This window comes from Homo sapiens, chromosome 6, assembly GCF_000001405.40.
Source record: "Homo sapiens chromosome 6, GRCh38.p14 Primary Assembly".
In the NCBI taxonomy this organism is placed as follows: Eukaryota; Metazoa; Chordata; class Mammalia; order Primates; family Hominidae; genus Homo; species Homo sapiens.
This window is the reverse complement of record NC_000006.12, coordinates 152432540-152454291: the sequence shown is the minus strand read 5'-3', so window position 1 is coordinate 152454291 and position 21752 is coordinate 152432540. Positions and strand designations below refer to the sequence as shown.

General features: G+C 37.1%; 1 protein-coding gene across 49 annotated transcripts in view; it reads left to right on the top strand.

Annotated features, from left to right (window-relative positions):
• SYNE1 (spectrin repeat containing nuclear envelope protein 1) overlaps positions 1-21752 on the top strand; it is a 515676-nt gene that overhangs the window by 183071 nt on the left and 310853 nt on the right. For all 49 annotated transcript variants that reach the window (XM_047418508.1, XM_017010610.2, XM_017010609.2 and 46 more), the window contains 10 exons: positions 572-706; positions 3087-3245; positions 3459-3667; positions 4651-4759; positions 6670-6834; positions 9714-9881; positions 12047-12217; positions 13022-13162; positions 18191-18351; positions 20347-20497. In XM_047418508.1, the coding sequence (XP_047274464.1) occupies positions 572-706; positions 3087-3245; positions 3459-3667; positions 4651-4759; positions 6670-6834; positions 9714-9881; positions 12047-12217; positions 13022-13162; positions 18191-18351; positions 20347-20497 (1569 nt within the window). The remainder of the gene's footprint in view (positions 1-571; positions 707-3086; positions 3246-3458; positions 3668-4650; positions 4760-6669; positions 6835-9713; positions 9882-12046; positions 12218-13021; positions 13163-18190; positions 18352-20346; positions 20498-21752) is intronic.

Below are 21752 nucleotides of genomic sequence, written 5' to 3'. Positions count from 1 at the left end.
CCATATGAGTCTGAAGAAGAACACAATTTGGTGCTAGCATGTGTGCCTATGTGTGCACATGTGTGCTTCTGTGTGCACATGTGTGCTTCTGTGTGCACATGTGTGCTTCTGTGTGCACATGTGTGAATGTGACAATGGCTCATGATGAAGCATCAGGCCCTGAAGCACTGTGGTTGGGGAATGTGGAATTATGAAGCTTAGTCCTGGCTTCTGTTCTGTTCTTCTGACTTCACCAAAGGGGAACCGAAGCTCTATCGCTACAGAATCAAGGTTTTGGCATCTCCCCTTGGAAGATGAGATATTCCTTTTGGAATATTCTACCAAATTTGAAAATCACAAAGAATTTTTCTAAAAAATAAAAAATACTAGTAGAATTTCAGATATGATGGCTTCTGATTCATAACTATAGGTGCACATAGTTCATCCTTAAAAAACAATAGTGGGTGCCTGGAAGTCTGCAAGAGGGCAGCAGCTGGCTGAGAGGCTTGTTTGGAGGCTTAGAGGCTGATTGTGCCTGGTGCTGCCTTTTCGTCTGTCCAACACTCTTACCCACTTTCCCCTTCCATGTCAGGAGTTTTTCAGTCAGCTGGATCAGAGGGTGCTCAATGCTTTCCTGAAAGCTTGTGATGAACTCACCGACATCCTTCCAGAGCAGGAGCAGCAGGGGCTGCAGGAAGCTGTTCGAAAGCTCCACAAACAATGGAAGGTGAGTCAGGACAGGACGGAGACACCGTGCATCCTCAATGAAGGGAGAAGCTTGAGCGTGTTAAGGTCCAAATGTAAGAGAAATTTAGAAATTCCTGGAAAGTCACTGTAACTATTTCGCTCATTTAAAAACTCAAAAAACTGGACTTAAATAAAACCTGATAATATATGATAGAATTGTGTTATTCCTATTTATTATCAGCATCAATTTTATCCTATTACTCGAGCATTCTTTTTGGTTTCCTGATTTTTTTTTAATCCAGGGTGCAAGAACATTTAACTTATTCTAGCAACATTTCATAAGCTTCTCTCTGCTGAATAAATCTTGCTAGGTATACCTACTGAAATCATAAAACATGTATGTATAGTTTCTGCCCCCCAAAGATTTTATCATCTAGTTGAGATAGCTATGATCAAAAAATATAAATGAAAACATTTTGTAGTCAAGAATTCAATGATGAACAAAGCATACCCCTCTTCCCCCCAAGAGCTTAAGAGTTCAGTAAAGGAGATAATTAGTTGCAAATAATACAAGTATAAATATGATAAATCCAAATGTGCATATATTTATGAAAGCTTTGAAAGAGGGAGGTGGAACCACTTGGAAATTGGAAAACAGCGAATCAGGTAACTAGTTTTGAGCCAGAACTTTACAGAAGAAGCAGAAATGGGAGTAAGCAGGGGGTGACACAACAGCACAGAAGGGAGAAAGCAGGAGAGCGTGAAGCGGGACACGGGGGCCCGCGGGCTTCCGTCTGACTTTTGTGTCATGGGCTGTGGAAGAACCATGGGAGATGAGCTGAGTCTGTCCCATGGAGGCTGACTTCAGACTGCATGTCAGATTCTGGAAGTAGCTGCAGCACAGTGGAGACCCATGGAAGGCTGTCTTCCTTGAGGTAGACAGGAGGAAGACAGCTCTAGCTTTAGGTGAGTGTGTACTACCTTGAGGTGATATTTCACATGCGCTACATGGAGGAGTTTTGGAGTTCAGAAGATTGGCAGCTGAAACTCTCTCCATCAGGTTGTCTCACTTTGTGTATTTTTAAGATCTCAGTAACATAAGCTAAATAATTATCCCTGTGCACAAGAAAAACACAGTTAAAGAAATATCCTTTTTACTTGCTATATTACTAAATTTGAAAATTCAAGTTTTTCATTAAAAAAAGGATTCTTAAAGAAATCCAAGCTTTGTTAGATGTCTTTGAAGCATATCATATTGTAAATGTATTATGGAATAAAGACTATAACTGAAGGTTGTATTTTATTACACACACACACACACACCTCTAGGATTTAATCTAGGTGGGACTTTCCATAGGCCCACCTCATTTTTCTCATCAGTCATCTTAGTATTCTGTTTCAAAGGTAATCCTTTAAAATGCCATAGGATAGAAGTTAGTTAAAATTAATTATGGGACTAAAGGTAATGATGAAGCTTATGTTTATCATTTAAAAGAACATGAAATGTTATGTAGTGTTTGAGTGCTTGCTTGCTTGTTTCTCAATGTATGATCTAAGGAAAAGAGGATATGGCAGGTGGTCAGCAGCCTGGGCTATGTTTTCTTTTTTTTTTTCTTTTCTTTTTAAAACTTTTTTTCAGTAATAAGCTTTCCTCATGTTCTTTCTTTTTGAAGTGGGTATAATAGCTGCCCCTCCTACCTCACAAGGTCATTGACAAAATCAAAAGGGACACATACAGGGGAAAGGGTATGATTTAAATCTATGGTAAAATCCTAGCTTTTGTACTTACCCCTGAGACTTAATGATGTAATCTGTAAAATAAGAACATTAATACTGTGCAGCACTGGCCAGACTTAGTGGCTCACGCCTATAATCCCAGCACTTTGGGAATCTGAGGTGGGTGGATCACCTAGGTCAGGAGTTCAAGACCATCCTGACCAACTTGGTAAAACCCTGTCTCAACTAAATGTACAAAAAGTGGCTGGGCATGGTGGTGCTGCCTGTAGTCCCAGCTACTCAGGAGGCTGAGACAGGAGAATCGCTTGAACCCAGGATGTGGAGGTTGCAGTGAGCCAAGATCGCACCACTGTACTCCACCCTGGGCGACAGAGCGAGACTCCATCTCACCAAAAAAAAAAAAAAAAAAAAAAAAAAAAATACGGTGCAGGGCTACTGTGAAAATTAAATCAAGTAATCACTGAGGAAACACCTAACCCACAGCAGACTGAAAGGATTTGCTGTGGTCCTGGTACTTGGAAAAATACAAAGTAGAGAGACCAGGTGTGGAAAGTAGTGACCCATTCACACTGGCCCTAAAAGGAATATGTTATGGTTTTTGTTTTTTTTTTTGCCACTTCAATTGGGAATGTACATAATCAGGAACTTCATCCTAATTTTCTGAATCTTCCTATGGAATGTAGGATCTTCAAGGAGAAGCCCCTTATCATTTGCTTCATCTGAAGATTGATGTGGAGAAGAATAGGTTCTTAGCCTCTGTAGAAGAATGCAGAACTGAGCTGGATCGAGAGACCAAGCTGATGCCCCAGGAAGGCAGTGAAAAGATAATTAAAGAGCACAGGGTACGTCTCCCACACCACAATGTGGATAGCCGTGTCAAGTCACATTGTTCCATAAAGGATATTACTAATATTTTGGTTTGAGTCTGAAAAATAATAGCTTAATTACTCTACCTTGGTAGTCTGCGTGGGAATCTTCCTTTGGTTTTTCTGTGAAAATGTAGAAGTACTGTGTGGCTTCTCACAGGGATTATAAAAACATTTATTACACATTAGGTTTTCTTCAGTGACAAAGGTCCTCATCATCTCTGTGAGAAAAGGTTACAGCTCATCGAGGAACTCTGTGTGAAACTCCCAGTGCGGGACCCAGTAAGGGACACACCTGGAACCTGTCACGTGACTCTCAAAGAGCTCAGAGCTGCCATTGACAGCACCTACAGGAAGCTCATGGAAGACCCAGACAAGTGGAAGGACTACACTAGCAGGTAGCCTCAGAATGGCCTCCAGAGAGGGGTGTAGTCAAACTTAATTCTGTTAGTTCGGAGATCATGACAAAACAAGAAATAACTTATTTCATATTTCTTGCTCATGTTCTCGTACAAAAATCCTTCATTTAATAAAAGGAATGGATTTTAGTCAGAATCAGGGTGAGGCACTTTGTTTCCAAGTGACCCAGATGTTATCTCTTTGAGGCAAAGTTGGCCAATCCCTTTCTCCCCAATATCCTTATGTATTAGTCCTTTCTCACTTTGCTAATAAAGACATACCTGAGACTGCGTAATTTATAAAGAAAAGAGGTTTAATTGACTCACAGATCAGCATGGCTGGGGAGGCCTCAGGAAACTTACAATCATGCCAGAAGGGGAAGCAAACATGTCCTTCTTCACATGATGGCAGGAAGGGGAAGTGCAGAGCAAAAGGGGGAAAAGCCCCTTATGAAACCATCAGATCTTGTGAGCACTCACTCACTATCATGAGAACAGCAGCAGCGGGGTAACTGCCCCCATGATTCAATTACCTCCCCCCAGGTCCCTCTCATGACATGTGGGGATTATGGAAACTACAATTCAAGATGAGATTTGGGTGGCGACACAGCCAAACTGTATAATCTCATATCCCTAAAGGGTGGCTTCTTCCTCTATAGGTTCGTGTCTCACCCTGGTGGGGACACACGAGGCCAGACCTCAAGTGGTCCCTTCCTTCTTTTCAGGTGCTCATTCCCTAGAACACATCTTTTTCCTTAGCTGAGCTCCCCCATCACCCTGCCCCTAGTAACTGAGCATAGAGGCGGCCACCCCTGCCCTTTAACATGAGCTTCATGTTAAAAGAATAGTTTCCAGAAAAGTTATTAATCAATTTGGTAATCACTTAATTGTTAAATTTCCATGAGTGAATTCAAAATAGAAAACATATTCTGATCATTCTGGTATGTTCTCCCTTTAATAAGAAAGTGCTTATGTTATTTCAGATTCTCTGAGTTCTCATCTTGGATATCTACAAATGAGACACAATTAAAGGGGATCAAGGGTGAGGCCATCGATACTGCCAACCACGGAGAGGTTAAACGTGCCGTTGAAGTAAGTTCAGGGTCATTATTTGCTAGAGGAAAATTTCTCATAGTGGAAGAATAATGTTAGAGAATCTAACGGTTCTCTGCTTTTTTCTTTCTGGAAAAAAAATAAGTTCTTGAAAATTGTCTTTAAAATAAGTCCCCTTATATTACTGTGGAGCATGTAGAGTTTTTTCCTATTGAATCCTTGGTAGCTTTGAGGGTTAGTCATGCTCCGTGGTGCCACAAATGCATCTTTAACTAATGGGGAGTCCTGAGTGGAAAATTGCATGCATGGGCGTATAACCCAGTAGAAACTTAAGAATCATCATGGAAAACAAGAACACTGTATGCTTTTATACAATACATTTTCAGCCATGCAAAAGGCAGGTCACAGAAAGATCAGGGAGCTGGGCAAGGTCTCTAGGCATCCTTTCTATGTGACATTAAGCTGGATTGGTTCATTTCAGCCTCTATCAGTGTGGGTACAGCCTGAAAAACCCCACCAGGGCCACAGAGCCTCAGGCTCAAACACAGTTTGCATTCTGTAAATGGCACTCTCTCACTCTTAGACACATAATGTTGTAAAAAGTCTTCATCTTTGAACATTTTTAACCCTTGCACATCACAAAGTTGCCACATAGTTGCTGTTGGGGAGAATATATTTCCTTTCTGTTCCTGTCCTTTGAGTGTTTGTTTGTTTGTTTGTTTGTTTGTTTTTTGAGACAAGGTCTCTGTCACCCAGGTTTGGAGTGCAGTGGCACCTTCATAGCTCACTTCAGCCTCGACCTCCTGGGCTTAAGCAATCCTCCCACCTCAGCCTCTTGAGTAGCTGGGACTGTAGTCACATGCCACTATGCCTGGCTAATGTTTGTATTTTTTGTAGAGGTAGGGTTTTGCCATGTTGCTCAGGCTAGTTTCAAACTCCTGGGCTCAAGCGATCCGCCCTGCTCGGCCTCCCAAAGTGCTGGGATTACAGGTGTGAGCTATTGCCCTTGGCCCATTTCTTTTTCAATTAAATTATACAATCCCCTTAAATGCTAGTGGTGCTCAATATCATGGTATGCATATGGAAGGATATCTACATTTGCTACTGGTTGCTTGCATCGCACAAAAAAAAATTCACATCCTAGAATGAAGAGATCACTGGGGTCTGGAACCAACAGTTTCCTGGCTGGTGTGCATTTGCCCTGGCAAAGCCCTGGAGTGGCCCTGGTTGGGGACCCCTGCTCTTGAGCCACCCCAGAACTGCTGTAGGGAGGACAGGCTGCTCCAGTCACCACTCCCTCAGTCAGCAGCCCTTCAAGGTCTGAAGCCCTGGAGTCTTTCTAGCATTTTCTTATCAATAAAGCCTCGCTTCCTAAATTAGAGCTGTGCTCCCATTTATACTTCTTGCTATATGGGATACTGGCTTCTAAAAGCTAATAAAAATTCAGCAGAAAATGTAAGTTAATGAAGTTAAAATAAATCTTTAGAGCATCCATAACAATATTCAACAAGTAGACTCTTCAATAAAAGAAATCAGCTGGTTGAAAAAAAGAACTTTCATTATTTTTTCACAAAATATCATCTTCTTTCCAGCTCAAAGGAAGTGAGATAACAAAGTGTATGTATGTTATAGTTGCCAATTGTGGCGTCTCATATTTTTCTACAGTATTTTTAGAATCATCTTTTTTCCCATCAAGGACATATCTATAAGTATCTAACCAATCTAATTATGAAGCTGATTCAAGAATAGACAACAGTTTTCTTTCAAGCACTTGTGGACTTTTGTTAAAAGTACATACAAAAAGTAAACTAAGCAGGCACTGTATTGCTGAATGATGTCTGGCTCTATTCTGCTCCACCTGCAAACCTTTTTAGGCTGAGTCCTTTATTGCTGGAAAGTTATGATTTCACAATTGCACTGTGTTCATCAAAAGTGTTCTCTCATTTCAGGAGATCAGAAATGGTGTTACCAAAAGGGGTGAGACCCTCAGCTGGCTGAAATCCAGGCTGAAAGTTTTGACAGAAGTTTCTTCTGAGAATGAAGCCCAAAAGCAGGGAGATGAGCTGGCAAAATTATCCAGCTCTTTCAAGGCTCTTGTGACGCTGCTGTCAGAGGTACAGCATTTACTCACACTCTAAACAGACAGTTCTGAGTGAGGCATCTGGAAGGTTCTTTTTCTTCTGGTTGTAGTTTAGCAAGTAATTTTATAAAGAAACCATAGTTGAAACAGAATTGTTGTTATGCTTTTTTTGTATGAAGCTTGTTGGGAAAGATGAAGAGGATGTTTGATGTATGGTCTGTGCCATTATTGGAAATGTTAGTTCAGGTTCATGACCTATATCTGAAATATAAAACTTGTCAAATCCACTGTTTTTACTCTTATAAAAAGCATTGTTATTTTATGGTCAGCTTAAGATAAATCATGGAGGCTAAGAATAAGGCTTAGGGTCAAAGAAATCCAGGATTAGAGTTTAAATGTGATACCCTACCTCCTAGGTAACCTTCAACTTACGTAACATCTAGGTCTTGATTTCCTTATTTATAACACAGGGTTAAAAATACTCACTCTAAAAAGAAGTATCATGAATTAAATGCAGTAATGTATGTTAAGCACATAGTGTAGTTCCTGAAACAGAGTAAATGCTCAATAGCTGGTTCTTAGTAATAATAAAATATTCAGTGTTTAATCAGCAGGCCAGTGAAATTCTCTTCCTAGTGCTTTGATATGCATTTTAATGTTTTTCTATATTCCTTTATAGATTAAAATATACAAACGCATCTACTTCATTTCCAGTAGGGCCACTTCCACCATCAGCAAAAATATTTTTACTGACCAGGTTTTTATATAAATCTAAGTTTGTGCTTTGGAAGATAATGTAAGAACGTAAAGTAGAATAGATATTTACCAGTATTTCTTGAAATCATTTAAGTAGAAACTTGCATGGAAAAATGGCCTAATGGATTACAAGAAAATGACCACAAAGCTCTGTTTCTGAAAATCTGAAATTCTCCACAGAGATTTCTCATCTAACAATTCATCTGTTAACCTTCATGTTTTTAATCCATTTAAATCTGCTTGAGACTCTAGTGCTGAATTTACATAAGCCAAAAATACTCTGAACTGCTTACGATTTTAGTTTTATGTGAGAATTTTTATATATAAATTAGAGTTTCCCTATGAGTTTTTGACAAATTGAAAATAGTTCTATGATTAATCAAATTTTGGAACATAACCTATTTCAATCCTTTGATTATCCATCTTTCAAAGCAACGGCCACATTTAGCCAGTTGCCTGTTTTGCTCTTTCCTTCCCTCTTTTGGTGACAGGAAAAGCAAAAACAACATTCTAAAAAGTTAGTGTACATGAAGGTGATCTTTGAGCCAAGATCAAACAAATACTTGTCGTTATTCACAGACAAGCTTGTAATATATTTTGTCTCACCAAAAAAAAAAAAAAAAAAAATTGACTGTCTTTAAAGTTAGAAGTCAGTAGTTTCCCTAACATTTACCAAGGCCATTTGCTTTATCTTCCAAGTACTGTCATGATTTTGCCCCAGGACTTATAGTAAGAATCTCTCTCTAATGAATGTTCATACAGACATTAATTTTTTACACACTCATCTGCCTTAAACTTCTGCATAATTTATATTAATACCCTTTTCCACTACTTGATCACTTACTTAGTGAAAGCAGAAAGAGAGGAAAGGAGAAAAACACATTTTGTTTACAGATAGATTTGTATGAAGAGATGGATGTGGCACATTCAGCCCCTTTCTTTGATAATAATTCATTTAGTATTTAAATTAATGTTGAACACAATGTGTTTGCAATTGTCCAGTGTAAGAAAAAAAAAGACTGTGGGTGGATGCACAAGATACAGTGAAGAGTCATTATTTCAATAGATTTGCTCTGATTTATATTGAAATTGGGAGTTTGTGGTTTTCGTAAGGTCTCATTGCTGCTTGTTTGGAGAACAGATTGCTCTCCTTGGAAAAACTTAGATCAGAAGAGAGTCAAAGAAAAAAGATAGGATAAAAGAAGAAGAAACTGGAAGGCTTCTGTGGAAAACAAATGACAACATGTAAAAAGGAGGATCTTAGTGAAGATAAAGGATAGGCTTCGAAAACAAAGGATGTTGGTAAAACTGAAATAGAGGAAGCAGAAATTAGACAAGAAAATTCAAAATTTAGGGAAATGATAAGGAAGAGAATCCATTAGATGACTACAAAATTGTAAATTATATTTATTTTTATGTAGGAATATTGGAAGCACATTTATAACAAATACTCTTTTATTCTCTTTTTCAACTCTACAAATGTTTTCCTATTTGTTTTAAATAATACGGACTCACTTTCTTGTAAGGCACTTTTATAATTAGGTTTTAGTCACGCAATTATAATGAAAGAGACCTAAAAGGCAATATATATATATATAATATATGCAGTTTTGTTATCCTTCCTTGATTACCAGGTTGAATGGGTTTTTAATATGCCCCAGAGCACCATATCGAATAAAACCTGCAAGCCCCATAAATGATTATGAAATTTAATGATAATGGAATAAGGCTGAGTAATATGAGAAAGAATAAAAGTTAAAGATCTGTGTTTATATGTCAAGTGGTTGAGGTAGACTTTGTGCACAGTCCTAAAATATGTAAGATTACATGATCTTCAACAGGGGGGTTTTGATCGAAGAGTACAAACATTAAGTTCTAAGATGAAAAAGTTCTGGTGGTGACTGCAGTTAATATTACCTATTGTATACTTGAAACTTGCTACGAGAGTGGACCTTAAGTGTTCTCACAAAAAAACAAAAGGAGAAATATGTGAGATGACAGGCTAATTAGCCTGATGTGGAGAATCATTTCACAGTCACGTAGTACACCTTAAATATGTACAATGTTTATTTGTCAATCATACCTTACCAAAAAAATTATACAAACTTCAACAAGTAGCATATGATTTACGTGTTTTTTTTTTTCATGAAAATATAGGTTGAAAAGATGCTAAGCAATTTTGGGGACTGTGTCCAGTACAAAGAAATAGTCAAAAATTCTCTCGAAGAATTAATTTCTGGCTCTAAAGAAGTCCAGGAACAAGCTGAGAAGATCTTGGATACTGAAAATCTGTTTGAAGCACAGCAGTTACTTCTTCATCACCAGGTAAAAATGCCTCTTTCTTCCAACAAGATTATGTAAAGTTGATTTGCTACTGAAAGAACCAGAGAGATAAAGAATACAACCACTGGCTTGAGAGAGTGGGTGAGGGGGCATGGGAAGGAAGAGTTGAATGGCTAAAAGAATTTGGCGCTTCTGGGTTTTGCTTTCTCTGTTAAATATTAAACATTTCAGGATATTCTGCAACATAAATTTCCAGACCGAGTGACTTGATGACATCAAAAAGTTCAAGGAATACTGTGGAGAGAAAATTGATTTAGCTATGAAAAACTGCACAAAACGTGCTAGATTCTCCTTTTCAAAACAGATGGAAAGGCATAGATGGACCAATTGCTTCCTATTTGAGATCACTGTTCTTTTGTCATTATATTAAAATCTTTCTCTTCAACTTACAACGCTGAACACACTTTAGTTTGAGAAATGATGACTTACTTGAAGTACTAGACCTTCCTGGAGTGTACACTCTTATAAAGATTAGAACTAGAAATAAAGAAATTCTGGTATATATACTGATAAGAAGCTATTTTAATCAACTTAATTTCTGATAGTCTGGTAGTGCACATTACAAATGTTTGCATAAAAGGAATATATACCTTGTTAAACGCAATATAAATGGAAATTTGATTCAAATAAAATATTTTAATGAAAAATTCTAGCTAACCTGATACACAGTAGCAAAATGGTAGCTAATTTATATAATATGTTTGTGTGTGTATTATATACATATATATTCTGTAATATATAAAAACGGAAGTTGCATTAAAAGTATGTTTAAAATCCCAGCCTTCAGGATTTCTAGATTTACTTAATAATTATAAAAAGGCTGAGTATAGGCCGGGCACGGTGGCTCACGCCTGTAATCCCAGCACTTTGGGAGGCCGAGGCGGGCGCATCACGAGGTCAGCAGATCGAGACCATCCTGGCTAACGTGGTGAAACCCCGTCTCTACTAAATATACAAAAAATTAGCCGAGCGTGGTGGTGGGCGCCTGTGGTCCCAGCTACTCAGGAGGCTGAGGCAGGAGAATGGCATGAACCCGGGAGACGGAGCTTGCAATGAGCCGAGATTGCCCCACTGCACTCCAGCCTGGGCGACAGAGCAAGACTCTGTCTAAAAAATGGCTGAGTATAAAAAATTAATATTTGGTGTTACATTGTTCTCAATCATTGTGAAATGGTTTTTTGGGTTTCCATTTACTTTAGGTCCAATAAATTTAAGATTATAGATATTTATGTTAATATTTTAAAATGCTTAGGCCAGGTACTTTTTATATGGGTGCATTTACTTTGTGAAAATTTATAAGCTGCATATCTGAGATTTATGTACTATTCTATTTGAAGATTATACTTCAATAAAAAGTTTACTTTAAGACAATTTCCCCCCACAAAATCTCAGCAAATTAACCATTCCGAATATACTTAGGAAATAAATATTTATTCATTTATTTTTGGAGACAGTGTCTCACTCTGCCACACAGGCTGGAGTGTAGTGGCACAATCATAGTTCACTGCAGCCTCGAACTCCTGGGTTCAAGTGACCCTCCCACCTCAGCCTTCCGAGTAGCTGGGACCACAGGCATGTACCACCACACTTGGCTAATTTTTTAATATTTTTGTAGAAACAGGGTCTTGCTATGTTGCCCAGACTGTTCCAAGCTTTTGGCCCCAAACAGTCCTCTAGCTTTGGCCTCCCAAAATGCTAGGATTACAGGTGTGAGCCACTGCACCGCCCCTGGCCATAAATCTCTTAATATTTGCATTTTAATAAAATAAATAATTTTTAAAAATTGGAGTTGGGACTTTGTGTTTTTAAGCAGAAAATAATTATTTAAGAAGAATCATGTCAGATGAATTGTTTTGCCAGACTCTTCCTAGAGTATTGCACAAAATGCTAAATATTCTCCAAATTTGCACACAAAACACGAAAGCCAAATTATTTATGTTGTTTACCATTAAAAACATACAATATTTATAAATAATGTTCATCTTTGACTAATATAGCAACCGACTACCATTTCAACTGTTAATCTTAGCTTTAAAATACATTTCGGGCCCACCTTTCTGTACTTCTGTTAAGCGTGGGTGTTGATGTCCCTACTTAGCTGTTTAGAGAGCACAATTTATATCCATCTGTTGAATAAATGCTTCTAGCAAAAGACAAAGCGGATCTCAGCAAAGAAGAGAGATGTGCAGCAGCAGATCGCGCAGGCGCAGCAGGGAGAAGGGGGGCTGCCTGACCGAGGCCACGAGGAGCTGCGGAAGCTGGAGAGCACACTGGATGGCCTGGAGCGCAGCCGGGAGAGGCAGGAACGCCGCATCCAGGTAGGAGCCGGAAGTTAGGGGCCATTTAAACAGAGGCTGGGCAGTGTTCACTTCCGGTTGTGCCTCATAACACCAAGGCGAACCTTTGTTACCGCCTCTGATGTTTCAGCCCTGTGTTAAATTCTGTACATGAACCATCTTTTAATCATCACATCAGCCTTAGAGATGGATATTGGAAGTTGCACATTTTGCAAGTGTGGATGCTTAAGAAGAAAGAGTTTGAGGACTAGGTGCTGTATCACACAGCACTGATCAATAATAAAGCCAGGATTTCATCCACACTTTTCTGAATCCAGAAATTTGATCATGCCATTTCACTTTTCCAGGAAGCCATGCAGCCACACATTTATGCCACCTTTATGCTTTATTGGGATGTTGACACATTACCTTTAAAAATGTTTCTGAGTTTTTGCCAACTGCTTAATGCTCTCTCTTCATCTCCTTGTCCCTCTCCCTACCTTCTTCTGTGCTTCCTTTCTTGTTTGAGACAGATTGAGAGGCCTTTTTTATTTTTTTGTCACTTATCTACATTTTAAGTAATATCTTTACATTTCTAAGACTTTACAAATTATAAAAAACTCAGAAATCATCTGAGTCCATGTGTCCTCTCTTTTTGTAGATGAAAACATTAACATAGAGAAAAGAAATTCTTACAGAAGATACTAGAATCATCTCTATTCATTGTGACTGTGTGAAATTTGAAATGAGAATTCGCTGAAAGTTGACAGTTTTGCAAACGAATGAAAATATGATAGTATTGTGTGACATTTGTAACCCATTTGTTGTTTATTTTTTCAAATTTAGGTCACATTAAGAAAATGGGAGCGATTTGAAACAAACAAAGAAACAGTAGTAAGATACCTTTTTCAAACAGGTTCCAGTCATGAACGCTTCTTGAGTTTTAGCAGTTTGGAAAGTTTATCTTCAGAACTGGAACAAACAAAGGTATATTATGGCTCCTTGGTACCCAATATTCAGAAAAAACAAAGCAAAACAAACAAAATGATTTCTCCTCCATTATTACTATTAATTGTTATTGTTAATTTAATCAATACTTACTATTTATTGATGACCCATTCTTTCAACATATTGGAGAATGAAAACATAAGTAGGATTAAACATCAAGAAGTAAAACAAAGATTTTTATCAAATTGGAAAATGGTTAGTTCCCTAATAGATGTGTATAGAGTTTTTAAAATCTGGAGGCAGGCCGCGCGCTGTGACTCAACTCCTGTAATCCCAGCATTTTGGGAGACTGAGGAGGGCAGATCATGAGGTCAAGAGATTGAAACCATCCTGACCAACATGGTGAAACCCCATCTCTACTAAAAATACAAAAATCAGCTGGCCATGGTGACACACACCTGTAGTCCCAGCTACTCGGGAGGCTGAGGCAGGAGAATCGCTTGAACCCGGGAGGCAGAGGTTGCAGTGAGCCGAGATGGCACCACTGCACTCCAGCCTGGCAAGAGAGTGAGACTCCATCTCAAAAAAAAAAAAAAAAAAATCTGGAGGCAATAATATTTTTTAACTGAACCTTAAAGGTCAGTAAAACTTAGTAGAGTTTGGAGCAAAATACAGACATTCTTTGGAAGGTGGAATGGCATAGAGCATACAAGTGTTCTGAATAGGAATTCTGTGTTGTAAAATAGAACAATGGGAAATGAATTTGTAAAGGAAATTTGGCCCATATTTCAGAGTCTTGAAGACCTAAAGCATTACTTTCTAGGCAACATGGAGCCAGACTTGTTGAAGGCTTAAAAGGAAAAGCCACACGATCAGAGCTGGGCTTTGGATGAATTTTTAGGCAGGTGTAGAAAAGTGACTGAAAGTGTGAAAGACTGGGGTCATGGGATCCATTTAAGTTATTGCATATGGGCATATGGGAGTTAATATGGGCATAAATAAGGGCGGTGGGGTGGCAGGTGTTACACAGAAACAGATACAAAAGATGTGGAGTTCACAGGAAGATAGGGAAACTAACCAGACAGAGTGAGTGACGAAAATGTTGATACCTGAGGTTTTGAGTCTGACGGAGACAATGGAAGTGAGATGGGGGATGTGAACGAGAAGTTGTTCATGGGAAAAGATGACCAACTTCATTTTGGAGGTAGCGATTTTGAGACTCCAATGGGGCATCAAACAGACCGTATTTAGTAGGTGTACTTGGTGAACCCAACCCTACAAGCTCAAACACCTTGGACACTCTAAGCAGACCAACCAATTTGTACCAAGCATTGAAGTTCCTGTGGTGCCTCTTTGGGGTTTATAGAAAGACTGAATTAGTAGAGAAATGAACTAACCGGTGTCTTAGAAAGAAGAGCCTTGTGCCCACCCTTCCCTAGCCTTTAGCAAGAAAACCTTTGTGTTTCTGTTTTCTTACCTGCAAAAGGCTTCACTCTCTCCCATACTGCTAATTTTTTGTTTCTCCTAAAAACTCACTGAGGATTTTGAAGTTTTCTAAGACCACAGACTCTTTCAAGTCTATACGATATTCATCAGTCATTTAAATAGAACATTATTTTAATTTTTAATTTAAATTATTTGGCCGGGTACGATGGCTCATGCCTGTAATCCTAAAACTTTGGGAGGCTGAGATGGGAGGATTGCTTGAGGCCACGAGTTGAGACCAGCCTGGTCAATATAGCAATACCCCATCTCTATTTTAAAAAATAAATAAATTATTTCGTGTATTAAAAACGTATCAGGTGCCTTTTATAAATACAAAGATGTTTATTGGGTTAATTTCCTAAATGTTTCTGACCACGTTCCAGCCAGAGTTTCTGACCCCCTATGATTCCATTTGCACTAATTCCTTTGGATCAGTTTAAGTACCTGTAGATTGAAACAAATGGAATCTTTTGAGTCTTGTTATTCAAATTCTCCTTTGTCCATGGTCTTCTATGCTTTGGGATTGATGTAATAATATGAGGTGACATTTATCAAACACATATAATATGCCGAATTAATTATTTGATGTTTATCATCGCCTTTAATCCTCAAAACAGTCCTAAGAAATAGGTATCATTATCAATCGTGTTATATGAGGAAGGACACATAAGGCACAAAGTTGGTGATGAACTCACTCAAGATCTGCGGATCACTAAATAGTGAGGTTGGGATTTCAATCCAAAAGGTCCTTTTCCAGAGCCCACATCTTTAGTCACTACGTTATTTTTTCATTCAAAAAACAGAGCCATTTTACTAATTGCCTATGCTCACTGCCAATCTAGAATCATTGTTCTCCTGTAGTTCTTTGCTCATTTTGCTTTGTTATTACAAACCTTTATTCAAGTTGATAGCCCTTGAGTAGTTGTGCTAAGGAATGGTTATGCTAAGGGACTTGAGTGTCCTCTGTGTACTGGTGTGTGTGATAGAGGGTTCATAGCAATGTCATGTTTAATCTTGAAAATAAGATATGGCTTTAGTGATGAAGAAAGGAAAATTCAGAGAGATGTGGCCAAAGGTCACTCAGCTAATGAAGGTTGGAGCCTAGGTTTCATCCCAGATCAATCTAATGTGAGTCAATTTTTACCTGATGCATCCTGCTGCCTGCCACTCATATGTTTTCTAAGAAGTTAGAGATAAGGCCTTACAATGTTATTCTGTTTTTGTTTAATTTTGTTTTTTTATCACCATCATTCTGCTCTTTCGATTTCTCTGCATTATGCTTTTTCCATACATAGCTCACATAAAAAGCTCTAAAATTGAATGTATATAAGCATTTTCAAACATTACTTTTTCCATGTTTTTCCTGGGTTCTGAGAAACACTAGCAGAAAAAAATAAAACACTTTATTTTTCACTTCTGATTATATTCATGGGATTCTAAGAGATCATGTGGTGATTTGTAATCTCCACAATTGAATCTACCATGACTGTCAGATATAGTAACAGTGGGTGCTTTTATCCAAAGAATTTAATGTTGTGACATTAGCAACTACCATATTTTAGTGTACTATAAATCTCTATGCCATAAGGAAGCTGTACTTATTCATTTTTATTCTCTTAAATTGCAACGTAGTTCTCTGAAGTAACATTGATTTTTTCTTCTTCTTTTTTGAGACAGAGTCTCACTCTGTCACCTAGGCTGGAGTGCAGTGGCACAATCTTGGCCAACACTGATATTTGTTGGCCGAACTCGTGATATTTCTATGAGAACATTAAGTCTTTTAAACATGAAGATATAATAGTATTATTTAGTAACTCTATCTTATATGGTACTATGTTCTAGGAGATGCTCTTACTGAAAAGCTGACTTTGGAAAAATACTTATATTTCTACATTATTCATTTAGGAGAAGGGAGTTGATCAAAATTTAAACCTCCTGTGAGATTCTCTTACATGAGAAGAAGTGAGATACCAAGTACATTTTCTTCACTTAGGTTATTACTGGGTTTACCTTTTCTAATTCAGCATTCAATATAATTACTTGACAAAATTCAGGTAACATCTAATATTTACCAGCCACATACATACTAAATCAACTTTTCAATTAAAATAGTTGAAAATAAGTATTTTCAACTATTTTAAAATATTTAAAATAAGTATATTGGCTTAATAAATCATTTTGTCCTCAAGTTTGTATGAGAGACATAAAAAACAATAATCAGTATCTCCAAGAGTGTTAGGCACTTTAAAAGTAAGATTGCTAATAGAATGCTAACAGTAACCTTCTAAGAAAAGGATTATCATCTGCATTTTACATGAAAGAGCCTGAAAATAATTCACCAAAGTCAAACAACTAGTGATCCTGGATTCTAGCCCAGGCTTGACTGGTTCAAAACTTATATTCTCTTTCCATCATGTGATACATGTGTATGTAATAAATAAGATTTAACAGCACTAAGATTAGATTATAGCTCTTTTCAGAGAACTAGTTAACAAAATGGCTTGATTACTTCTCTCTCTCTTTTTTCTTTGAGACAAATTCTTGCTCTGTTGCCTGGGCTGGAATGTAGTGGCGCCATTATGCCTGCTCACTGCAGCCTCTATCTCCTCTCACCTCAGCCTCCTGAGTAGCCAGGACTACAGGCATGCACCATCATGCCTGGTCACTTTTTTTTTTTTCCCTAGAGATGGAGGTCTTCCCATTTTGCCAAGGCTAGTCTCAAACTCCTGGCCTCAAGTGATCCTCCTGCCTCAGCCTCCCAAAATGCTGGAGTTAAAGGCATGAGCCGTCATGCCTGGCCAAAGATCATTGATAGTCTCTTTTGACTAAGATATTACATTAAATAAATAAATGTTTCTATTCATTGGCCTAGAAATCTATTATGTCTATGATCAATCACTATTGATTTTGTGAACTGGCCTGTAATAAGTAAGCATATTTGTGAATAAATTAATTATTATAATGGATCTAAGAATTCTAAACAATGAGACAAAACCAGGAAACAAAGGAGAAACAATTTTTGTGAGTATTATTGGAAAACTATGAAGGCAAATAGCTGGTTGTGTATAGAAAATTAAAAAGTTAGCCAGGCATGGTGGCACCTGCCTGTGATCCCAGCATTTTGGGAGGTCAAGACTGGAGGATCACTTGAGCCCAGGAGTTCAAGATCAGCTTGGGCAACATAGTGAGACCTCATCTGTACAAAAATCAGAAAATTAGCCAGATGTGGTAGTGCCTGCCTGTGGTCCCAGCTACTCAGGAGGTTGAGGTAGGAAAATCATATAAACCCAGGAGTTGGAAGCTGCAGTGAGCCATGATTGCACCACTGCATTCCAGCATGGGCAAAAGAGCAAGACCCTATCTCAAAAAAAAAGAAATAAAATAAAAAACTGTTAGCAAAGTGTCTATTTTGGCCATATGGAAATAAGTCAGATTTATTGTTAAGAACAATGTAAGATCCATACATGTATGACTCTATGTCTTCATCCACCCATCTGTTCTGTATGCAATATGTGCACTTTATTTGAGGGCAGAGATAAATAATATAAAGTGCCTACCTAATGATCATAATATTTTTTCTAGGAGTTTTCTAAACGGACAGAAAGTATTGCAGTCCAGGCTGAGAACCTTGTAAAGGAAGCTTCAGAGATACCGCTTGGGCCCCAAAATAAGCAGCTGCTTCAACAGCAGGCCAAGTCAATCAAAGAACAAGTCAAAAAATTAGAAGACACGCTTGAAGAAGAGTATGTGATTGACAAGTCCTAAACTTTCTTCTCTGAGATAAAGTTTCATACAATCTTTCCTGTACCTTGTATTCAAAACACTCTTTTAAAATCTCAAAGTGTCTGTGTATTTCAGCATGTTTTGAGGAAACAACTCACAGTTCAAAAGAAAGTATCGCTAATACAGAAACCAATATCTATAACAGAGCCCAAAAAATATAAAGGATGTGGGTTTTGCATCTTAAACTGATCATGTTCATGAGAAAGCCATATCTATTCTATTCTGTGGCCTTTGTACATTGTAGAGGGAATCTTGAAAAAGAACTAATATTTAAAATAATTTTTTTACTATATTATTCTGCTGTCACCATTTAGAGCGAAAAGGAGATATTTTGTTAGTGTAGATTCCAGGCCTAAATACACATCACATAGACCATATATCTCCAACCTGAAGAAGCTCCTGGAGCTTGTTTACAGTGCCTCGGTATTCAAGTTATCCTGACTAATATGCTCTTTCCAGAAATTAACTTTAAAATATTTTATTTTTAAACTTTTAATGTTTGTTTATCTGAAAAAAAAAAACTGCTTGGCCTATTGATATCCTGTTATATACCCAAAATATACAAAAAAGTTTGGAGGGGAAAAACATATGAGGATACAGCCAATATTATTCAAAACAATATGGCTAAACATTTCTATTTTTAACATAATTTAGTGGCAAATCAATGATACATAATAGCATATTATTATTAAGGGACAGGCCATCATTTCTAAGGTGGGTTTTAAAATGTAAAATGTGTTTTTAATACTATTAACAGCTTAAAATTAACATTTTACATTTGCCTAAACTTTAAAATTTGATACATATTTTATTTAAAACAAATTATGACTTGAAATTTTGAGGACTTTATATTACATTAAATATTCTCTATCAAGTTATGGAAATAGTAAAACAGAGTTTATTAGAAAGGAATTTACTTCTATTAAGAATAGCCATTTTAACCTTTATTTAATTTAAAAAGTTGCAATATAACACAGCTTGCATTACCTGTACTGCTGACAGCATTAGGCACATTCAGGGTATAAATTTGAGACTGCAATATTATTTAATTTGACAGTCAATGATGCCACTCTATTTTTCTTGATGTCTTCAAGTGCCTTTTGGTAAACAGGGACATTCTTTCACTTTTTTTTTTTTTAACCCAAGGACTTACTAGTTCAATTATATACTGTTAGTTTCTTAGTCTTTTTCTAAACTGAAAGCCATAGTCACCTGGTTATACATGCATAGCTAATACAAATTAGAAATCTATAGTTGAAATTCTGTTCACTAGATTTGTTACAAATAAAACCTATAAGTTGTCTAAAAGTAGTTAGGGTGCTCATGTACAATAATTTATAAATGTCTTTTGGAATCAGGACCATAAGACATTTATGAAAATGGCTGAAGTCACAAAGATTATACATCGCAGGATTAGCTCTAATAATAGAAACAGTTCTTGCCCGGCAGCATGGGATTGAGATCACGAGCTCTGTCTTGATTGATAAGATGCAGTTTATAAAGGTATTTCTATAGAAAGCATCACTGCAGTGTCTCTCCTTTAAGTGTAAGAAGAACATTTCTTTGGAAATAGGACTATTGAAAAGCTGTGTACACTGAAATCTTTTCTGGCATAGTTTATAAAAATAAGTCCTGGCAACAACTGGTCACATGCAGAGTTTAATTAGATTCTACCTGGATTCAAACCCCTTTGGACCCAGCAATGTTTTGTTCAAAGTGCAGTTTCACTCAAAGTGTAGATACTGCCTCATTAAATGTTCATTCTCAGAGAAGATAGGAAAACCTGATAAACTACTCAGAACAACTGTGCAATTTTTTTTTTAGCGTGAATAGTTTCAACTTTGAAATGGTCACAAATGTCTTCATTATCTCTTCACCTGGTGATTTCAAGGAAAATGTGTTGTTGTTCTCTATTAAAATACTGAGTTTTATTTACTTAATTTGGTTAATTTTAGTATTAAAACCATGGAAATGGTGAAAACCAAGTGGGATCATTTTGGCAGTAATTTTGAGACTCTGTCCGTCTGGATAACTGAGAAAGAAAAAGAACTCAATGCCTTGGAAACTTCGTCATCTGCCATGGACATGCAAATCAGCCAAATTAAGGTGACCTGCTCACACATTATATTTATAATCCATGTCTAGCTTTTAAGAACTACTTTCTTACATTTCATCAAATGCTGTTCGGTCCCAGGACAAGACTTTCATTGCAATGTGACTATTAAAATTAAATTCATACATTTTATCAAGCTAAGAGGTCTGGATTAATACTGGGCAACATTTATAGTTGGAATTATGTATTCACATTGTCTGACTTGTGCATTCAAAGTTAATATTGTGTGAAATATCATTAAAATATTTTTATGGTTACATTAATTCTTTTCCTTGATTTTGAATTAACCTCAATAGAATGCTCTGCCGGTTCATTATACAACATGAAATGTATTCATCCTGTACAACTCTAAAATCCCATTCCCAATGTCTAGTTCAAGTATTAGTGGTACTTACCCACACCAATCACAAGGAGGAGTTTGAAAAGCATCTTTCTTAAGTGAAGCAGTTCTACTCCATGGTTATGATGTTTTCATTTATGACCTTGGAGCATGGACAGAGGTCCTCTGATTCCTTACCTCTCCCAGCTCTAAAATGACCAGGTGGATAGACTATCATTGGCCACTTCATTCAGACAGTTCAAGAAGAAAAATGGGCTTACAGGGGCTTGGAGTGTTTATTTCTCTTTCTTTTATACAATTTTATACCACACATTTTCAAAATTCAGCCACTTTTTCTACCTCAGCTTTTTTTTTTTTTGGAATGGGAAAACCCTCTGCTATTTCATTCAATTAAATATAGTAAAATAAATACCAAGGTGAGGGAACATTTCACACTGTGGCTCAGAACAAGTCGTTACCATGTGGAGGGTGGGAGGGTGCAATGTTGCTCAGATAAGATTACCCGCTGTGCAGATCATCCTTGCTTCTCACACATCTTTTGCAATCAAGCATACATGGAGTTTCATATACACAGTCTGCTATGTCTTCTTTGGTATACCAGGAAAAATAGATGTGAGGCCATGGAAGAATATTCATTAAATATTTTTAATTGTTAAAATTGTTTTTAAAAGTTGTCATTTAATCATTTTCACTAAATTCTAAGAAAAAAGAATAGCACATTTAAATAGTTTTGTCTCAAAAATGTCCCCTTTTGAAAATTAACACACATTTTTCAACGTATTTATTTTTTCTATAATTCATTTACTATTATTTCCACCCTTATTCCAGAGCTTCTGGAATATATCAACTATCTAATGTCATCTCATTGTTATTCTCCAGAAAAAAAGATTACATGTTTTCTTAAAATA